This window comes from Homo sapiens, chromosome 11 (assembly GCF_000001405.40).
Source record: "Homo sapiens chromosome 11, GRCh38.p14 Primary Assembly".
In the NCBI taxonomy this organism is placed as follows: domain Eukaryota; kingdom Metazoa; phylum Chordata; class Mammalia; order Primates; family Hominidae; genus Homo; species Homo sapiens.
In genome coordinates, this window is record NC_000011.10 from 84,056,900 (window position 1) to 84,079,033 (window position 22,134).

Here is a 22,134-nt window from a genome sequence, read left to right on the forward strand (position 1 = left end):
AGTCTCACCTCTCTCTACAGGAATTTCGCAAGAGCCTGCTTTTTAGGGATGCGAAGTTATTTCCAACAGTTATCTGGTTCTCCTCATCTCAGTAGACCAAGCTCACTTGTAACCCCATCTCCCATACACTGTATACTTTAACTGGGTTATTGCCTAGGTATACCAAGTTGATTAATACTCACTTCTCCCCATTTCCCCATTCCAGGTCCCACAGCAATTACTGCCCCACTCCGGGCTCAAGGAAGAAAGCAGTTCAGCATGAAGTAAACCAGCTGGAGCCCCAGTGTCAAAAATAAAGATCTAAAATATGTGTTCTTGGTAAAATTAAGTTTTAGTCATCTATAGCCTTTAAGTGCTCTGGATGACCTCCAGCTGCTCAGCTAGAAGAAGGTCTATAAATGCATGATGTTACTTTCTTTACTGAGTGGTTAAAATTAGTATTTGTCTTAGGGCTATGCTGAATAATTACAGTTAATTGAATTACAGAAATAGCTACATATAATATATATTTTTAATAGAAATAATGGGTATGGCCATTTTGTTTGGCTTTAAAGCTCCTTGCAATATGATTTTAGTAAATGTGAGGGTTGAAAGTCTTTCATACCACTAGAGACTGTGGCATGAAAATGCTTCACTTTTTTTTCTTTTTACCCAGATTTAGTTCTATGATTTTAACACATTTGAATTTGACCCATGAGGAATCTCTGAATATTTTCATTACATTACCAAACAATTGTTACAAAGTTTAAAACCATATGTAGTAAATAATAGTACAGATAACATGCATATGTAGCTAATTTTGTTGGTCGGTCAGTTTGTGCCAGGCCTTATTCTAAATACTTTTTGTGAATCAACTCATCTAATCCTCACAACATCTCTAGGAGCAAGTACTATTCTTATTTGCACTTTGTAGATGAGAAAATATGGCCCAGAGAGGTTAAGCAATTTGCTCAAGGCCAAACAGCTAGTGAGCTGCAGAGCCAAGGTACTAATCTAGAAACTCTGGGCTGTAGAGTCTGCATCTTAACCACCAGGCTCTATTGCTTACCATGTGCCAGCTATTGGCTAAATGCTTAATCCTCATAAACCCTATGGATTGATGCTACCATTATGATCCCCATTTAATAATGAGGGAGCAGGCCCAACTAAGATGACTCTGCTAGCAAGTGGTTGAACCAGGCTTTTAAACTCAGTCCTGAGATCTTAAATACCACCCACTACTGCCTCCTAGAAGAGATGGTAGGCTTATTTTTTCAATCTCATATAGCATTAGAGATTAAATAGATTTTAAAGAAATGAGAAATGATTTACTCAAAGAGTACAGTGATTATTTGGTCAAAATCATCTAAAATATTTAAATAATGTTAAGCTAATTATTAGATTTTTTCCAAAACATTAAATACTATTAAGTTACTACTTAATGTCATCATTCTGAAGAACAGAGTTCAAAGCATTATTCTTAAAAATTAGTATGGGCCAGGTACAGTGGCTCTCACCTGTAATCCCAACACTTTGGGAGGCCAAAGCAGGAGGATTACTTATGACCAGGAGTTCAAGACCAGCCTGGGCAACAAAGCAAGGGTCTGTCTCTACCAAAAAACAAATACAATAATAATAATAATAATAATAATAATAATAATAACCACATGCACTAGTGCATGCCTGTAGTCCCAGCTATTTGAGAGGCTGAGATGGGAGGATCACTTGAGCCCAGGAGCTTGAGGCTTCAATGAGTCATGATCCTGCCACTGCACTCTAGCCTGGGCAACAGAGTGAGACCCTGCCTTAAAACAAAACAAAACAAAACAAAAAACAAACAAACAAAAATTAGGGTGGTAATTCATCTGTTTCTGCAACTCCTCAGAGTAACTATAATAATCTCAAGAGATACGAGAACATTTCAAGAACATAAATTTTAACTTATTTTGGCTACTGCAAGCATAAAATGTCATGTAATATTGGGTACAACACATAAGAATATAACCAAACTTTAAACATATCACAACATTATAAAAATATAATTGTTATATTAGTACAGATTATTTTAATTATTATTTATATTACTATTTTGCCAAATGAGAGGATTTACCATTTGTATCTGAAAAATTAGTATTAATATGCTAGCTAAGTTATCATGACCCAGTAAGATTAAAAATTTATAGAAAAACATAGATGACTGTTAATATTTTTGTTTTTAAGGATGTTTCTACATAAATCTACTCTTTCCTTCTTATCTGAGTTCATATTTAGAGTACTGGTTTCCTTTACCCTTTGTAACCACTACTGTAGGATTTTAAATCTCTTGGTAAGCACTGAATGTCAGAGGTTAAAGAGTTCATCATACGACTATCGTGGCATAAACTTCAGTCAGATGGTTTGTCACTAGTGTCTGTGAGTCATTTATATTTTGATTACCTTTAGGGCCTTTGAACAGTTTGATTTCCACAACGGTCTCCAAAATAGGTCGTCTTCTACGCACATACAGCCGAACGATAGACCCTGCTTCCTTCAGGGCTTCCACCGCTTTACTGTGGGAAACCTCTGACACATCAACCTCATTCACCCGCAAGATACAATCATTGACCCTGCAAGGAAGGAAAAGAGTCAAGATTCAGAAGTGGCTAGCAGGATTTCTTAAAGAATATTATTATGTTTATCTGACCTTAAGAAGTGGGAAAGTAAAGAATCTAAAAAATTTTAAAATATTTAAATTTGGAAGGATGCTTCAAATGAAGGAAATCTAAAAAATGTCAAACTACTCAAGCCTCTTAGCCTTCTTCCTAACCACTTTTGACCATACTACTGGTCAGTTCCCATCCTAAACTCCAGTCCACTTTGACTGGGACTGCTTACACATACGGCATAGTTAGAAGGGCATGTATTTTAAGGCCTCTGTAAGTTACATCATTATTTTAATTGGTTTGACTGAAAGTTACAATTTGAGTGGTTCTCAGAACTTACTACCATGAACTATATAGACATAACAAATACAATTATTTACAGACTAATTTTCTCAAATTTTTAATTTACTAGTTATAAAAGTAATAAGTAATCATTTTCAAATATCTGAAAAATATAAAAAGGTAGAAGAAAAAATATACTTGACTCAATCATCTAAAATAAACCTATTAGGTTGGGCGCAGTGGCTCATGCCTGTAATCCCAGCACTTTGGGAGGCCAAGGTGGCAGGATCACCTGAGGTCAGGGGTTCGAGACCAGCCTGACCAATATGGTGAAACCCCGTCTCTACCAAAAATACAAAAATTAGCTGGGCATGGTGGTGTGTGCCTGTAGTTCAGCTACTTGGGAGGCTGAGAAAAGAGAATTGCTTGAATCCCGAGGGTGGAGGTTGCAGTGAGCCGAGATCACGCCACTATACTCCAGCCTGGGAGACAGAGCGAGACTCCATCTCAAAAAAAGAAAATAATAATAATAATAAATTAAATAAGTCTGTCAGCTTTCTGGCAAATTATCTTCCAGTGTTTCCCCACCCTCCTCTCCACCTCGATTCATCTTACAATATTATAAATACTGAAGTTCAGATTTACAAAGTTCAAGGAGAACCTCAGATAATCCTGTTCCTAGGTGCTTACTTTGAAAACTAAGAACCACAACAAATTCTACATCAAACTTTCCTCTTTTTTTTTTTTTTTCATTTTCACATGGAAAGGAATAATTTGACATTTCCATAAACCTTTCCAGGTAGTTTAAAGTTATGTGGCCATCGACTCCAAATATATTTTATTTTCATGATAATAATTAGTGATAACATTAATAATGGTTAAGAGCACGGGGCTTGAGATTACAAAAATTTCTTTCCCTCACTCTGTATATCCATTCTAGTGTCCCCAATCTCAGATCACCATGTTGCTCAGAGTCAAAAATGAGGGGCCTCCTTTGCTTGATGCTTCTTTTCCCCCACCACCACGCAGTCAGTTCTACCTGCAAGTATAGCCTCAGTCCATCTAGGTTTCTTCATCTTCATTGCTACCACCCTGGTTGAAATCAACATCATCTCTCAGGTGAACCACCTCCACAAACGCCGACCTAGCCTTCTTGGATTCTCTCTTGTTACCTTTCAATCCATTCACTACACAGTGGCCAGCGTACAGTGAACATGGTTGGTTTGCTTACTCAACTTGCATTCCCCACTTCCTCCTTCCAAACAGTGTCCCGTTTTGTTCAGGGGATCTTTCCTTAGCAAATATTTGTTGAATGTGTGAAAGAATAAGACTAAGTTCAATGATTGGGCCCTCCATTTCCTAAGTTTGTAACCATAGTTAATTTCCTTAGCCTCTCTAAGCCTTATTATATTCTCATCTGTAAATTGGATATAATAGTAATATCTATCAGGAAGCCTTTTGGGGAAGATTAAATGAGATAAAGCACATATAAGCACTTAGTACATACTCTCTTATGTAATGAACACCTAATAAATGTTTGTTATTGATAACAGTGCAATATTTGTTGATTTATAATATTCTCAACTATTGGATACTCCCTATAACTTTGTGGAATAAAACTTATTATCTACATTATAGAAATGAGAAGACTTCCAAGTGATTAAGTCCTCTGCTTAAAGCTGTCAGCAATTTGAGCAGAGATTGGATTTGATTTCAGGTCTTCCTATTTCAAAATTTGAGCTTTTCTCTCTTAGGACCACATACATCTAATGTGATGAATAGTTTCATGTATGTTGTGTATATCAATTCAAAATGATGACTACAATGATAATATTATATGAAAAGTATGGGAAGAATTTTGTATCTGTTTTTGTGCATAACTTTTCTATACCTGTTTAGTTATAGGAACTCTTGCCTCAGTAAGAACACAGAGCAGTCTCAAAATCTTGAGATGGAATATTTCACTTCCTAAGATTCGGCAATGTCATTTCATCATAACAGATGCTATGGCTTTAATAGACTTACACATACATTTCCTCTCTGATTGACAAAAAAAAAAAAAAAAAAGGGAAACTACCAATTAAAATAGTTTTGAGAATGTAGGCATCATGGGTGCCAGCTGCCCTGCAGCAGCTGGTCCTTTGAGAGTGGGTAATTTTGCCATCTCATGATAATACAAAACATAATGTTTACCATCACTCTATGCTCAGAATACTAATTATATCTTAAAACACTGCTTTTCATAGAAGGGAGTGGCTGACATTTAAAAAAAATTCTGGAGGCTATATATATCTATTCAAACTCTATTTTTTTCCTTTTGTATACAGTGGGATCCTTAATTGTCAATTGCTGGTGTGAGAAAATCATAGCCTAAATCAGATGTTCATTCCTGAATATGTGGATCAAGTAGGCAGCTTTAGGACTAGCAGTCAGGAGGCCTGGATTTGAGTCTCAGTTCTTCATCATCTGTGGGACCACGGTGAGGCCACTTTATCTTTTTGAACTTCAGTATCCCATAAAAGGAGAGAGACTATGTCCAGAGTCAGTGAGAGCAGTAACTGTACTGTATAGTACTGTGCAGGAGAGTACCCATAGCTGATGTGTGGAGATGTGTACATTGTAACCTACCATAGATCTGAAAGTTCTTGCTATTGAGTGGATCAAAGATGTGCTCAAGTATTTGTTCAAATGTGAACAGAATGGAAATTTAAACTTTTAAAGGACATACTATGTGCAATATCAGCCAGTCATTTCACTTATTTGTTCTTACTTAAACAATTTATAAAGTATGGATCCCATTTTAAAGACAGTGGAATTTTACTGACAAGGTCAAAGTGTTGGTGAAAACAGGGACATAATTTCAACCTGTTTTTACTTTTTCTAGAGCTTCTACTGATACAAAGATACTCAGACACTCAGAGTTGATTGTTTTAATTTTTTTTTTTAATGGTGGTGTTTGTAGGGGAGGTGGGGTAGTTTACATTCAAATTCTCAAAATAGAGAGGAAAGTATGTCAGGCCAAACTAGGGCAGTCAACTTCCCTTCCTCCCAGAAACTTGAAATAGATTTTGGCTAGAGGGTCATAGCTATTTAAAATTAATTTGCTCTCTTTACCAGTAGATAAACTTTGTGAGTAAAGCCACCAACTGTATTCATTTTGAAGCATGTAAGTATATAATTAGCTTCAAAGTCAAGGAATACTTTGTCACAGTAACAAATGCAGGCTTTATCATATTTCTGAGGGACATTGTTTTATGAAGCCGTGAGTTCAAGACCAGCCTGGGCATCAAAAGCGATACTCCATCTCTAAAAAACAAAATGTTGTTTACATATACAGACTTACTCTCCAATCTCACTCTACCAATCTAATTAAGTTGACAGTTTCACTCTTAGTACTTGATGTTATACACGTAAGTCTACAGTATTCATCTGCAGCAATTTCACCTTGTAAACCAGAATTGTCTGTAATATCCGCAGATTAATTTTAATATTCTTTCTAGAATTTCCTTTAGAAATTTTGGTGCATTCCTTGCCAAAAATATTTTAGAAACAAAAAGGATAGTCTATCGGTAGCCCGTATTCAAAGAGTCACATCTAAATTTTGCACTAAATCAAGTATTTTCTAAAATGGTATAGCATCACTGAAAAGTAAAACAATATTTAGTGAGTTATTTGTTCTACTTTGACAATATAATTTAAAGTAACAGGTAATATCTACTCTCTCAAGGTACTAAATATTTTCTGCAGTGTGGCTATTCCTCAGGGATCTAGAACTAGAAATACCATTTGACCCAGCCATCCCATTACTGGGTATATACCCAAAGGATTATAAATCATGCTGCTATAAAGACACATGCACACGTATGTTTATTGCGGCACTATTCACAATAGCAAAGACTTGGAACCAACCCAAATGTCCATCAATGATAGACTGGATTAAGAAAATATGGCACATATACACCATGGAATACTGTGCAGCCATAAAAAATGATGAGCTCATGTCCTTTGTAGGGACATGGATGAAGCTGGAAACCATCAATCTCAGCAAACTATCACAAGGACCAAAAACCAAACACTGCATGATCTCACTCATAGGTGGGAATTGAACAATGAGAACACATGGACACAGGAAGGGGAACATCATACACCGGGGCCTGTTGTGGGGTGGGGGGCTGGGGGAGGGATAGCATTAGGAGATATACCTAATGTAAATGATGAGTTAATGCATACAGCACACCAACATAGCACATGAATACATGTGTAACAAACCTGCATGTTGTGCACATGTACCCTAGAACTTAAAGTATAATAAGAATATATATATATAACAAAAAAATTTTTCCGCCATTGAAGTAAGATTTGTGATTTTACGCATTTTTAAGTATGTTAACTCATTTAAAATGATCATCAAGTCATAGTAAGTGTTAAAAATTTAAAAATTCCCATGCATTATGCATAAAACACACTGAAGAGAAAGATAGCGAAGTTTTAATTTGGGTCCTTTGTGGGTATGGAGATTATGAGCGCTTTAAAAAGCACATTTCTACTTTTATGTTTCTTTCAAATGTTTTATACTGGACATATATCACAGCACAGAACCTAAGAACATGGCTTGGGAGGCTTGGTCACAGCCAGATAGATCTGGGATCTCACCACAGCTCTAAAACTTGGGAGCTCTGTGACTACAGACAAGTCACTTGACATCTCAAAGCCTCAGTTTCTTCATCTGAAAATAGGGATAATGAGATTGTTATTGACTGATTGTTACTGTTATTGAGAGAATGCATGTGAAATACATAGCGTAGTCCCTGAAAAACAGTAAGCATCAAAAATGTTAGCTATCATTACGAAAAAGAGACAAGAAGCATTTGCATAAGAGAATATATAAAGAGACTATAGTGAGGGAAAAATACTAAAGGGAGAAAAAGAAAGAGCTACAGTCAAGATGCTGAAAGTGTTTTTAAAATTTTGTATAAGAAAGGGAGGAAGAGAAGAAAAGAATGGGATTTTCAGGAAGAAAAATATAAAAATAGAGCTTTTACAGCAAGGTACTGGTACAAAAACAGACACACAGACCACTGGAACAGAATAGGGAATCTAGAAATAATGCTGCACACCTACAGCCATCTGATTTTCAACAACATTGACAAAAACAAGCAATGGGGAAAGGACTCCCTATTCAATAAATGGTGCTGAGATAACTGGACAGTCATATGCAGAAGATTGCAATTCGACCCCTTCCTTAAACAATCTGTAAAAATAATCTCGAGATGAATTAAAGACTTAAATATAAAACCTAAACATATAAAAACCCTGGAAGATAACCTAGGAAATATTATTTTGGACATAGGACCTGGCAAAGATTTCATGATAAAGATGCCAAAAGCAATTACAACAAAACCAAAAATTGACAAATGGGACCTAATCAAACTAAAGAGCTTCTGCACAGCAAAAGAAACTACCAACAGAGTAAACAGACAACCTACAGAATGGAAGAAAATATTTGCAAGCTACTCATTCAACAAAGGTCTAATATCTAGAATCTATAAGGAACTTAAATTTACAAGGAAAAACCAAATAACACCATTAAAAAGTGCATAAAGGACATGAACAGACACTTTTCAAAAGAAGACATAGACATGGCCAGCAAGCATATGAAAAAATGCTCAACATTACTAATCATTAGAGAAATGCAAATCAAAACCACAATGGGGTAACATCTCACACCAATCTGAATGACTATTATTAAAAAGGCAAAAAATAACAGATGCTGGCAAGGTTGTGAAGAAAAGGGAATGCTTATAATTGTTGGTGGGAGTGTAAATTAGTTCAGCCATTGTGGGAAGGAGTTTGGGGATTTCTCAAGAACTTAAAACAAAATTACCATTCAACCTAGAAATCCCCTTATTGGGTATTATATCCAAAGCAATATAAATTATTCTACCATTAAGATATATGCACACATATGTTCAACACAGCACCATTCACAATAGCAAAGATATAGACTCAATCTAAATGCCCATCAACAGCAGACTGGATTTTTAAAAATGTGGTACATATATACAATGGAATACTATGCAGCCATAAAAGTAATGAGATCATGTCCTTTACAGCAACACAGATGGAGCTGCAGGCCATTATCCTAAGCAATCTAACACAGGAACAGAAAACCAAATACTCCATGATCTCATTTATGTAAGTGGGAGCTAAACTTGGAGTACGTATGGACACAAAGAGGGGAACAACATTTACTGGGTCCTACTTGAGAGTGGAAGTTGGGATGAGGGTGAGCACTGAAAAACTAGCTATCAGGTATTATGCTTATTACCAGGTTTCAGAATAAGCTATACACCAAACCCCTACGACATGCAATTCACCTATATAACAAACATGCACATGTACCCCCGAAACTAAAGGTTTAAAAAAAGAAAAAAATAATAAATGCATATTCACCTAAATATTAGAGCTTAAATAAGTCTTGTTTGATGAAGTACAATGTAATTTCCTTTTCATATTTCCCTTCCCTTGCCCACAGTAAAACTTATAGTTGTTTTGATATACAAACTTTACCTTTTATGGAAGCCTTGGTTAAAGATTCTGACCAGCACACTTAACTCAACCACACCTAACTGCACTCAGACCTCCTCAAGTTTTTATTCAAAAGTAGGTGTTTGGGGCCGGGAGCGATGGCTTATGCCTATAATCCCAGCACTTCGGGAGGCTGAGACGGGTGGATCACCTGAGGTCAGGAGTTCGAGACCAGCCTGGCCAACATGATGAAATCCTGTCTGTGCTAAAAATACAAAAAATTAGCCACGCATGGTGGCAGGCGCCTGTAATCCCAGCTACTAAGGAGGCTGAGGCAGGAGAATCGCTTGAACCTGGGAGGCAGAGGTTGCAGTGAGCCGAGATCGTGCCACTGCACTCCAGCCTGGGCAACAAGGGCAAAACTCCATCTAAAAAAAGAAAAAAAGTAAAAAAAGGTAGATGTTAGGTCACAGGGTCTGAAACAACTTTGCAGCAGCTGTTGGTTATTGAAGAATGTCCCCTAATTACCTTGCGCTTTACTGTTTCTATCAGTAGTATTCTCTTTCTTCAAATAAATGAATTAATTACAGACCAAAGGGCCACATCATGAAGAAAGCTGATCAATGTTTAATGTGCTGTATGAAGTGTAAAAATGCATGATGAAATTTTAAAAAACCACTAGCTAAGGAATTAGACTGCATGCACTTAAAGATAACAATCAATCACTTAAAAAACTTTCAGTCCCTGTAATCCCGGTGCTTTGGGAGGCCGAGGTGGGAGTATCATGAGGTCAGGAGTTCGAGACCAGCCAGACCAACATGGTGAAACCCCATCTCTACCAAAAATACAAAAAATTAGCCAGGCATGGTGGCGGGCCTCTGTAATCCCAGCTACTTGGGAGGCTGAGGCAGGAGAATCGCTTGAACACTGGAGGCGGGGGTTGCTGTGAGCCAAGACCGCGCCACTGCACTCCATCCTGGGTAACAGAGCGAGACACCATCTCCAAACAAAACAAAACAAAACAAAAATCTCAGAATCTGTTCAAAAGGAATAATTCCACACATTTTATGTCAATTATAATGAAAACAGAAGTTATGAAAAGGGTCTTGTTTTTCTTCTATTCCTGAAGTCATTAAAGGTAGGTTATGAACAAATAATAGAAGCCAAAACCTTATTAAGACAAGTAGTTTATGCTCACAGAGAGGAGAAAATAATACACCCCCCACCACACACACACACACACACACACACACAAACACAGGCTGACTCAAATGACTTCAAATCATAATGGCCTGCCATAATACATATACTTAATTATGTCTGCCTGTTATCTCACTCTTCCTTTTATGAAGTACATGGAAGTGTTACTGGGGATCTTTAAAGTCCATCACCAGTTAAGGTTCTCCCTTGTTGAAACTTCTCACCCTAATGATCTGTATATTTCACTGACCTCATTAGGCATTATTAGTTTATTAAAAATAAAAAATAAAAGAATAAAAATCAGCATAATTTAGCATTTTTCCAAGAAAGGAAGAGGAATGTTTTAGAGGCATCTGATATGGGCCAATGTAGTAATATCTATGAGGCTTTTTTTTCCAGCAAACATCCACATGGTTGTAGGAGGAGTGACAAGCTTATATGGCTTAACCTGGTTCACTTGTCAAGTCTGGCCAGTCCTGCTTTTGGGAATGTGGAATTGAAACCATGAGACTCAGAGGTTCTATGTGACCAGAAGAAATAGAAACTTGAGAGCTTAATATTAGAGGCCATTTTCTTCCATGTTGACTATAAAATTTCAAAAGACTATCTCCAAAAAGATGGGGAATAAAGTAGATCTATAGGAAGAAGTATGGGCTTCGGACAGAAGGAGGAATTCCTCTAACACCTGACAGTGTCTCAGTCCATGGCTATTCTTCCCAGCGCTTAATTGTCCAGTTTGAGAAGATACTTCAAATGTCCTTCTAATTAATTCTCCCTTTTGAGTAAGTAAGCTGGTGGGTCTTTTACTTGCCAACAAATATTTCTGATTAATACAGGCAGACTTTGTGACCAATACTTTACATGTGTTATCTCCCTTAGCTCATTCCTTTTTCCCTTTTAAAACTTAATTCAAGCTTATCTCATCTTCTAGGATGCCATCTTTGGCCCAGTTATTTGCTCCAGTGTTCCTCCATTAGGTACTTAGTGAAAAATATTAATGGAGTTCCCAGACTTAGCAAATAAAAATACAGGACAATCAGTTGAATTTCAATTTCAGATAAACATTAGTAATTATTATTTAGATAAACACATACATTTTAGTATAAGTATGTTCCATTGAAATTAAAATTTAACTAGGAATTCAAATTTATAAAAATACAGTATTTATAAAAGCACTCATTATACTGAGTTTATTTGTTTTATTCGAATAGCATTAATGCCTGGCACCTAGTGGGAAAAGTTTGTATTATATACTATGTTATATAGTCTTTAATGTAAATAGAAACACTGAAAAGTAGATATTGTCGCCTTCATTCCACAGTAGAAACTAAAGTTGAAATAGGTTTGTAATGACAGGTAAATGATGTCTAGGAAATCTCAAAGTTCATGCCCTATACCATCTACACTTCTCTGGTTTGTTAAAAATGATTTTGCGACTTACTTAAGGACCCACTGTCAGTCGGGTCCAGGACCATACTGTAAACCAGTAGAGCCAAGCCAAGTAACAAAATCTAGATCAATCTTTCTCACACTTTGGGGAGGGCTTGTTAAACTATACATTACCACTGAGCTTCCCCCTCCAGAGGTGCTGATTCAGTAGGTCTAGAGCAGGAGAGAAGAGTCACATTTCTAACACGTTCCTAGGTGATCCTGGTAATGCTGGACTGAGACCATACTCCAAAAACCACTGCTCTAGGTTTTGAAGGGTCATTCTACTTGGCTCATGTATGATTCATTCCAAAATAAACAGAAATACTCAATCTTATGTAGACCCAACTGAGTATGTGATAAAAGTCCTGAGCTCTGACTCCAAACCCAACCCCTCTATTTGCAGCTTTTCATTATTTGGAACAAAGCCTCTAAGGGAACCTGGACCAGGAGACCACAGCTGCCATAATGTGTAAGGCTGTGGACATGCAAACCATTTTCCAGCACTCATTTTCTACCTGAAACTCTTTTACTGACTCCCTTCCTTCAGCTAAGACCAACTGATAGCCTCTTCATTCCACATTTAAAAAATAGGGCTTCTGCTCTCGTCTCTAACTCTGAATGAGAGTAACTCGGGTTTATGATCCATAGAAGCCATCTCCTACAGTGAATGTACTGTTTTTCCCCTCTATTTGCCACTTCATTTCCCTTCTATAAAATGCTTGCAGGACTCTCTGCAGCTGTCATCTGGGAAGCATCACAGCTTTCCACAATGGGGACAGAAATTGCTATTTCAGCATCAGTGATTGGTCTTTTGGCACTTTCCTGGAAAAGCAGAGGCCAGTAACAAATTTCAAGCTAGGCTACTTAATGGGTACAACATGGAAAAGAGACATTGAATAGAAATTCCAAAGTGAGAGGGTCATGGGACTGGAGATTACTTAGCCCGCTCAGTTCAATACTGTGTCCACTGACAGGACTGCTTGTCAACTTTCAAGAGATGAGGTGCTGGTACCTACCACCTGGATTACTACAGTAGCTTCCTAGCTAGTTTTCCTGATGCCAGGCTAATTAGCCCCTCTCCATTTCATTCAAACACACAAAACCAGGTTCAACTTCCTAAGGCAACCCTTTTATCATTTCATTTCCCCTCTAAATTCAAGAGATTTGTAACATATATAAAATTAAAACTGTGGTTAATCTTTGTATTACCAGTGTCAGGTACACAGTTGTCACATAAGAAAAAATTAGCATCATTGTATGACTTCTAAACCAACCCCCTTTTTATACCTCTTACTGCCTGCTCCAGCCAGGACACTATATTTTGTTTCATGTTGCTTTCTGTCTCTCAAACGTTCAACCAAAGCTAGCATCATTCAAAGGCAAGTTCACACTCCATAGCCCATGAAATGTTTCCAAATCACTCAAGGCTTTATTGTCCATAATGTCCCAATTGCAAATACATGGCAGATTCTCATCAAGAAGCTATAGATTTATTTGTTACCTGCATAGAACCTAAAATAGTGAGTACTACACATTAAGAAATACATTTAACAATGCTGGATTTGATTTCCTATTTTCCTCTACTCAAATCTACTCCAATCCCAGAAATAGATGTAGATCAACATATATGGAATTCATAATTGTACATTTTCTCAGTCAAGTTCAATTTGGCATTAAATTGATGAACATTTCAGTGAAAAGTTGAGAACAACAAGGAGCATGGCATGGTGGGAAGAACACTGGGTTATAAGCTAGATATGAATTCTAATCCTGGGTTTCTGCCACTTTCCAGTTCAAGTCAATTTTTTTTCTCTGTGTGTTTGAGTACAGTGATCTTAAAATTCTCTTCTAGCTCTGGTGTTCTATAAACCTAAATTCAAGGTCAACCCAGCCTGGCACCTATCTTTACTTGGAAGTTGACAGTACATCTCAAATGGAGCAGAGTCTGAAATTAATCTTATCTCTTCCCCATAGACAACCCTTTACTTCACTTTTAATTCTCCATCAAGACAAATAATTTCATCACCAGAAAGGGAGGAGTGTTCCTTCTTTTTTAGCCACACATCCAATCTATCACATTTTAACATATTTTTATTTTAAAATTTTTCATTTTTAGTTAATTAATTACTTTGTATTTATTTATTGTTTTTGAGAAGGGTCTCATTCTGTTGCCCCAGCTGTAGTGCAGTGGCACAATCACGACGCACTGAAACCTCTGCCTTCCAGGCTCAAGCTGCCTCCTACCTCAGCCTCCCATGTGGTTGGAACTACGAGTGCACACCATCACACTGGCTTTTTTTTTATTTTTATTTTTTGTATTTCTTGTAGAGATGGGGTTTTGCCATGTTGCCCAGGCTGGTCACAAACTCCTGAGCTCAAGTGATCCACCCACCTCAGCCTCCCAAAGTGCTGGGATTACAGGCGCGAGCTACCATGCCTGGCCTGAACCTTTTTATTTTTAAAGATGGGGGTCTTGCTCTGTGGCCCAGGTTGAAGTTCAGTGGCAGGATCATAGCTCAGCGCAGCCTTGAACTCCTGGGCTCAATTATCCTCCTGCCTCAGCCTCCTGAGTATATCCTTTTCTTTTACTCTCATTTATTCTACCTAATTCTAGCCCTTATTGTCAATCACCTAGATTCTGGGGAAAAAAGTTGTAACTAGTCTTCTTGCCTCCAGCTTTTTCCCCTCTATTCCATCTTCCAACTTATTGCCAGAATGGTGTTATTGAAATATAAGCCTGAATGTTTTATCCCATATTTAATGGTCCTCAATTGCTCTCCATTGTCTACATTTAAAAAATCCAAGCAAAGAAGCCCTTTATTAAAATGAAATCTTACTTAGAAGTCACACAATGGATATTTATAATTATTTATATATAACAAATAGAGGGAGAATTTCTGTGATTTCTGCAGCATAGAGGAAAAGAGAATCAGAGCCGAGCCTGCTGCCTCATTCGTGACCCTTCAGAGGGCTCTGAGGAATCCAGTCAGGGTGCTATATATGACTGAGCAGAAGCTAGTGAGTGCAGAAAGAAATCCAGGCAAAACCCTTTCTCTAAGCCAAGTGCCTTGGCACTGAGCTGTCTCTGCTGAAGGGAGTGTCTAATGCACATAAAGGCTTCTTATGAGTTTTCTAATTCACATAAAAACTTCTTATGAGCTACTGGTAGCACTGATCACAGGGTTCTGTGGAACATAAATTGAATCCACCTGCCTTTTTGGATAAAGCCAAAGTACCTTCACATAACACCCAAGTCTTTCCACAATCTGATTGCTATTCACTTCCCCAGCCCTGTCTCTTGCTATATAAGTAGTTTCTTCAAACATTATGCAAGTTCATTGGTCAGGCCTCTTCCTCTGCCTGAATTAGCCACCTCCAGACCCGGGTTGTCTGTTAAGTACCTTTAAAGACAAATGCATATCCTGAAGTAGCTTCACAGTTTAGCAAGAGAGATAGGAAAAATGCTATTAAAATTCAATATAAGTGCTATGGCAAGAGAAATACAGGGTAATGCAGGAGTACATAACAGGAGAACCTTATTTGGTTTTTGGGGGCCAAGGAAAACTTGGAGCAACTGAGGCAGCTGAGACCTGAAGGCCAAATAGAAGTTAGCCAAGTGAATAAAGATAGGAAGAAGTGTTTCAGGCACAGTTTAGTGGCTGATGAGGTAAGGAGCACAGATCAAGTCTTGAAGGTCTTGGTACGACATGTTAAATAATTTGGACTTGAACTTAAAGGCACTGGAAAGCCATTGTACTGCTTATAGCTAGAATAATGTTTTAGAATAATTCTCCAGGTACAATGTGGAGATGTGGACTTGATTAGATTTGGTAGGTGGAGTTAAGGTAGAAGAAAGCAAGAATTGTTGTTAGAGGCTGCTATATAACCCTGATAAAAGATATAATAGCCTGCACTAAGCCAGTGGCAGTCAGGATAAAGAGAAGGGGACAGACATGGAGGGCTGATTAGAATCTAATAGATGTGCTGATGGATTGTATGTGGGTAGTGAGGAAAGGAAGAAAATGTTTTGTTTAAATGTCTGTCTTCACTTATAAATCATAAGTTTTGATTTGTGGTTTATGACTTGAGGGATAAAATCATTTGTCATTCATTTTTGTATTTTTAGTGCCTCACAGGGTAGAACAGAGTTGGCACAGAATATATATTTGGCAAATAGAGTGAATGAATTTTATAAGTGGGGAAGTTAGTCAATGACATCTTTGCTGCCAGTATCCACACCTTTTCCTCATCCTTTCCAGTGACTTTGTCCCATAAGAATGCTGTCTTCTCATCTCATCTCTTTCCTCCTGGTATAAAAAGAATGAATTCAAATTTAATCACCCTAACAAACAAGCTATCATTCATAGGCATATTAGCATTAAGAAAAAAAAAAAGAACTCCAGTGATAGGGCAAGGCCTAAACAAACACAATTGATCACCAATAATAAGACCTCAAATATAAGTTGAGAGATATATGTAATCCGCACATACATACATTCAACCAACATATATTGAAGACCTGCCACAGAGTACCAGGTATTGTATAGGCACTGAGGACACAGTTGCCAACGAGAAAGATACTGGCCCTTGACCTAGGGGATGAAGAGGTGGGGATTTACAAATTCACATCACAGGGTCAGAAGCTTATGTCACTTACATACAAAGCTAGTTCTACTTAAGCACATCTTTTAAACTTTAGCGGTTAGGCTTTAAATTAAAGTTCTTGTTTATTATTCTCATGATTATTTTAATTCTCAGAGCTTAATTTCCATAGAAACAGGAAAATTAAACCGTAAGTCTGAACTCAAGTATACCATGTGGCAAACTGTAATGTTGCTTCTTATTTTGAACTGTTCTTCATTTACCATGACTATAACAGGTGTGTCATAAGCCCCCCACCCAACCTCCAGGAAGTGTGGAGCATCTTAAAAGCCAACCAACATATACGTACGCAGGGAAAATACATATAATTTCATTGTATGTAATTGCAGCAGTTTATGAGATGTATAAAATATTTAAGAGAAAACATTTGGCATCTTTTAAAATTCTTGTAAATATCAAATCTCATGTTGTTATAGAGAATATCAAATCTCATTACCTGTTACAGGGAAGTAATTTTCAGCATTTGTATAGTTCAACAACAAATGAGATACTTGTATTACTTAAATTTATTTGTTTTCTTATTTATTATATTTCCCTGCACTAGAATATAAGCCCTATGACAGAAGAAATCTTGCCTCTAATTTTCCATCACCAGTGGCCAGCTCAACTCCTCACAAAAGACACCATCATACATTCAGTTTTTTTGTTATCTTTTATTTCCTTCACCCTCTACATCCAATCCATTAACAAGATTTTTAATTTCCTTCACCCTCTACATCCAATCCATTAACAAGATCAGTAGCTTCTAGCTACAATATCTATCCCAGTCCATCAACTTTTCTCCATCTCTACGACTATCACCCTTGCCCAAGCCACTACCAACCACTTCTACCCAAACATGTTGGCTCACGGGTTCCACTCCTGTTTTCTTTAATATATTCTCTAGACGGAAACCAGAGTTTCTAATTTTTTTTTTTTTTTTTGAGGTGGAGTCTTGCTCTGTCGCCCAGGCTGGAGTGCAGTGGCGTGATCTCGGCTCACTGCAACCTCCGCCTCCCGGGTTCACGCCATTCTCCTGCCTCAGCCTCCCAAGTAGCTGGGACTATAGGCGCCGGCCACCACGCCCGGCTAATTTTTTGTATTTTTAGTACAGACGGGGTTTCACCATGTTAGCCAGGATGGTCTCGATCTCCTGACCTCGTGATCTGCCCACCTCGGCCTCCCAAAGTGTTGGGATTACAGGCTTGAGCCACCGCGCCCGGCCCACAGTTTCTAATTTTTAAATTTAAATCAGATAATATCAATCATCCCTTACTTAAGACCTACGAGCTCTTCCTATGTAATTTAAATTAAAACCCAAAGCCCTTACCTGCCTTACAAAGTTTGAGCTCCTATTTATTCTTGTGCTCTCATCTTCTACCACTGTCCCCTAGCTCTGTCTCCTAGCATCGTCTACCATTGTGCCCTACATACCTAGCTCACTCCTGCCTTAGGGTACTTGTACTTATTGTTTCCCCAGCTTTGAAAGTCTTTTCCCTCATGTTTTTGGCTAGCTCCTATTTGTCATTAAGATCTTACCTTAAATATCACCTCCTCAGAAAGGCCTAACTTGATTATTTAATCTAAAGTTGCCACCAGGCATTCATCACTATATCACTCTGCTTCATTTTCTGCATAGCATTTATTACCATATGATATTTTGTGTAGTTGTTTATTTTCTGTCCAACAGACAGAAAATATATTTGTATATTTGTTTATCTTCTGCCCACCTTTCTTAGAGTAGGAGCCTTGTCTGTCTGGTTGACCATTTTATCATTAATGCCTAGGACAGTGCTGAGCTCCTAACAGGCACTAAGCAAAGAGTTGAATAAAAAATGAATTATTCAATGAAGGAATGAGTGAATGAATAATAGTTCTTCCTAGTTAAGATTGGGTTGGTCAGTAATAAAATATATGCAATTTTGCTGCCCAAATTTGAATTCTGATAGCTCTAGCTTGAAGAACTTCTTAAATTTATACCTATAATTATTGGAATTATTTAGTACTGCCAAAGGTTGTGAGCAATTCTCTATGCAACAGATAATGCTAGATTGCCTGGAGGTGCTAATTTTCTAGGGTAGATGATTAGTGATGCTGTTTTCTGACCTTTCCTGAGCTACAATAATCAGCTATTACTGTTTATGTAATTTCACAGTACTTATACTCCTCATCTCTTCCTAGGGTAAATCATATTTCATGAAATAAATTCAAATTAATTTGTGATGAAAAACTCATGACACATTTTGAGATTATTGGTGACATTTTATGATTTCATAAAACCAGAGCCGGAACTCCCTGACTTAATGGTTGAACTGGTATTTGCAAATGGTATGCTTAATCTATTACACTTGTTCTCATTTGTGGAGGCAAAACTCAGAGCCTGAGGATGGTGGCATAAAGGATTAAGGGCAACAAGAAGGGCCCCTTTGCTCACAAATATATTCTTGCTTTCCAGAAACCTGGTTTCATTTGAATTCATCAATTTTTCCTTTTGAAACACAAAGAAACCCACTGGTGTCAGTCATTCATATTTGATTTATAACTTTATGTAGACTGTATGACTTCAGTTTGAAGCATGGTAGACTAGGTGAGTCTATGAGGGACACTTACATGAAGGAACATATTAAAGGAGGCCATAGGCATGAGGGAAGCAGAAGAGAGAAGCTTCTCCAGAAGAGAAAGGAGATCAGACAGAAAGCCAAACATGAAATCACACATCTTCCTAGGACACCTGTGACAACAGCTGCAGGAGGCTCTGGTAATAACTTCTGTCTATCTAGCGCTCACTATTTACAAAACACTTCAACAATATCTTCTGTTTCATTGTTAAAATCAAGACCTACGCCACGCGATTATTGCTACATTTTCAAGTGAAAAAAACCTGAGGATTTGATAAGTTAAGCAACTTACTCAAATTCACACAGCAGATAACAGAAACAAAAATTAGTCTAATGGCTTCTGGTCTTGTTCACTTCCCACTTATAACTCCTATCTATGCTATTGTCACTAGTCCTTCTGTTGCAGTTGTCTGGCAAAACCCCAACCCTGACTGAACCCAACCCTCCACCTTCTTCACTGCCCCTTCCAGAAGTTAGTGGAGAAAATCCTCAAATGATGGAAGTCACTATGATCTCCAAATGTAACACCACACTTCGCCCTGCTCAGCTTGCTGTCCCTCTTTCTAAAAAGATAAACTCCAATGTTCTCCTTTCCTGCATCACTTCCAGAAAATATGTTTGCTAATAATTCCAAGAGAAAAACAAAGCCATGTGATGTGAAGTCTCTCAAATTATTATGCCAGATTTCTATACTTTACTGCATGCAAACCCACCGTCTCCTTTCTATTCCTATTACAGTGGAGCAAGTGTTCCCTCTGATACCAAAAGTCCATCAATTCATGTCTTTTTAAAGATCTCACCAGATCATTTAATCTCTCTATATTCTGCATCTTCAAACCCAGCCTCTACTTAAGTCATCTCTGAATATTCAAACATGTTCTAGTATCTCTTAGTTTTTAAAATGTTGTCTTGACCTGGCATCTCCCCTTGGCTACTGTCCTATCTCCTTCCTCTTTACCAGTCAAGCTTATCAGAAGATCTGTTTATACACACTCTCTCTATTTTCTACTTCTTCCTTCCCAAACTCTCTTTATCTCATTCTAGTCTGAGTTTCCTCACAAAGCCCCTACCAAGAAAAAGAGAAATGGTCCTACTAAATTCACCAGTAATCTTGATTTTGCCAAATCTAATGAGATCTCGTTAGTTCTCATTTTGGTCCATCTCACAACAGTGGGAAGCCCAGTGGCTCATTCCTTCCTTGAAACACTCTTCTGCATTCTGTGCCTCTCCTGCTTTTCTTCTGACCATGCTGGCCATTCCTTTTGTACATCTCTATTTTAATTCTTCCTCAACCTATTAATCTTCATACTTAAAAAACAAAAACAAGGAAAACAAAAACAACTATGTGCTATTTTTGCATGTTTTAGGCTGACAATTGTTATAAATTTAAATAGTAGCAAAGGATATCATTTCTGACCTACTGTGAATTGTAAAATTTTATTTTTTTCACAATTACATCACTATTTCAAATGTATCCCATGGGATATAAGTACATACTGATTTGAAGTCCACGCTCACAATTTAAAATATTAATAAACAATATCTTCTTGAGCAGTTAAAAAATCACACTTTTCTTTCTCCTTGAACTTATGTTTCCATTCTACTTTTACCATGGGAAGTTTTACTTCAATATATCACTATGTTAGAACATTTTCTATTGATCACCCTAGCATACTTATATAAAACAAAAACACATGTACAAATATAAATCTGATGATTTTTCCCTCAAATTTTCTGTGACCATAAGATTCCAAACAATAAAAATAATTTTCTAGACTGGGTTTTATGATTATTAGTGTTATGCAATTTATCAAAATCACTAAAATATATTATGAAATTCAACATATAAACCTAAAACAATAAAGATGAAATTGTATTGGGGATTCTTTTCTTAGTAGATTGAGTAGTGTTTTTCAAAATCAGTCCATGTTTCCATAGATTAATATGAATTAAAGTTAAGAGTAAGACAAGATTCAGAATTCCTTTTTTCATTTCTGTATATGTAAGTGATCAGAAATCTTGTTCATATAAACAGGTAGATGGGAATGGGAAGAAAACTGAATTCCTTCCAAGTTATATGCTCTGAATCCTGTGACCTATAATTAAAATTACTTTAATAATCTATCAGTTGACTGTTGCTTTTCAATTTTATTAAAAGCAAAGAATTGGAAACCACATGATTTAACAAAATGATTAGTTACCTAATCATTAGAGTCACCGACTTTCTCATGCCAGGCAACAGTATTTCAGATTGTTTCTTTATATCTAGGACAATGAATCATAGCAGAATTTAGGACGGTTAAGACATATACTTTATTTTTTTAAATGTGAAAATACCAATTAAATGGAAAAGTGAAAAAGAAGAACCATCATAAAGCTGCAGGCTTCTTCTTGGGCAGGTCAATTGAAGATCTGGATATTAAGTGACATAAATCCACCTATGTACTCCTAGAGGTACACCTTACTCAATTTAGAAAGCTCTGCTCTAACCTACATTAAAAGTCTGAAATATCTCAGGACTAAGTCCTAGCTTCTCTTTTCTTTTTATTCCATACTTTTTCAAGGCAATCTCTTAATTCACTTGGTTTTAAAGGTTCCCAATGACATTCCCAGTCAGATCTCTCAGAGTTCCATATCCACGTTCAACTGCCTATTTGATATCTCCATTTGCTTTTGTTGTAGGCATCTTAAATTAACATTGTCCAAAATGGAACTATTCAACATATTTTCCAACTTTACCTCTCCACCATTCCTTTCCAATTGTCATCCTCAAAGTCATTCTTTAATAATTCTATTAGATGGTGAACTCTTTG

General features: G+C 37.1%; 1 protein-coding gene across 53 annotated transcripts in view, besides 1 other annotated feature; it reads right to left on the reverse strand.

Moving 5' to 3' along the window:
- The window catches only part of DLG2 (discs large MAGUK scaffold protein 2), a 2,173,362-nt gene that overhangs the window by 601,888 nt on the left and 1,549,340 nt on the right, over positions 1 to 22,134 (reverse strand). For all 53 annotated transcript variants that reach the window (NR_165353.1, NM_001351274.2, XM_017017256.3 and 50 more), the window contains one exon: positions 2,416 to 2,585. Coding sequence is in view for 52 of the 53 variants with exons in the window: in NM_001351274.2 (NP_001338203.1) it covers positions 2,416 to 2,585 (170 nt within the window). In the remaining variant the exon portion in view is untranslated. The remainder of the gene's footprint in view (positions 1 to 2,415; positions 2,586 to 22,134) is intronic.
- Positions 2,047 to 3,246: an enhancer, noted in NCBI's record as "CDK7 strongly-dependent group 2 enhancer chr11:83769989-83771188 (GRCh37/hg19 assembly coordinates)". NCBI's record gives its function as "activates an origin of replication core promoter dependent on BRD2, BRD4, P300/CBP, MED14 and CDK7 cofactors, with strong dependence on CDK7, by STARR-seq in HCT116 cells {active_cell/tissue: HCT116}" and the evidence as "EXISTENCE:reporter gene assay evidence [ECO:0000049][PMID:35650434]".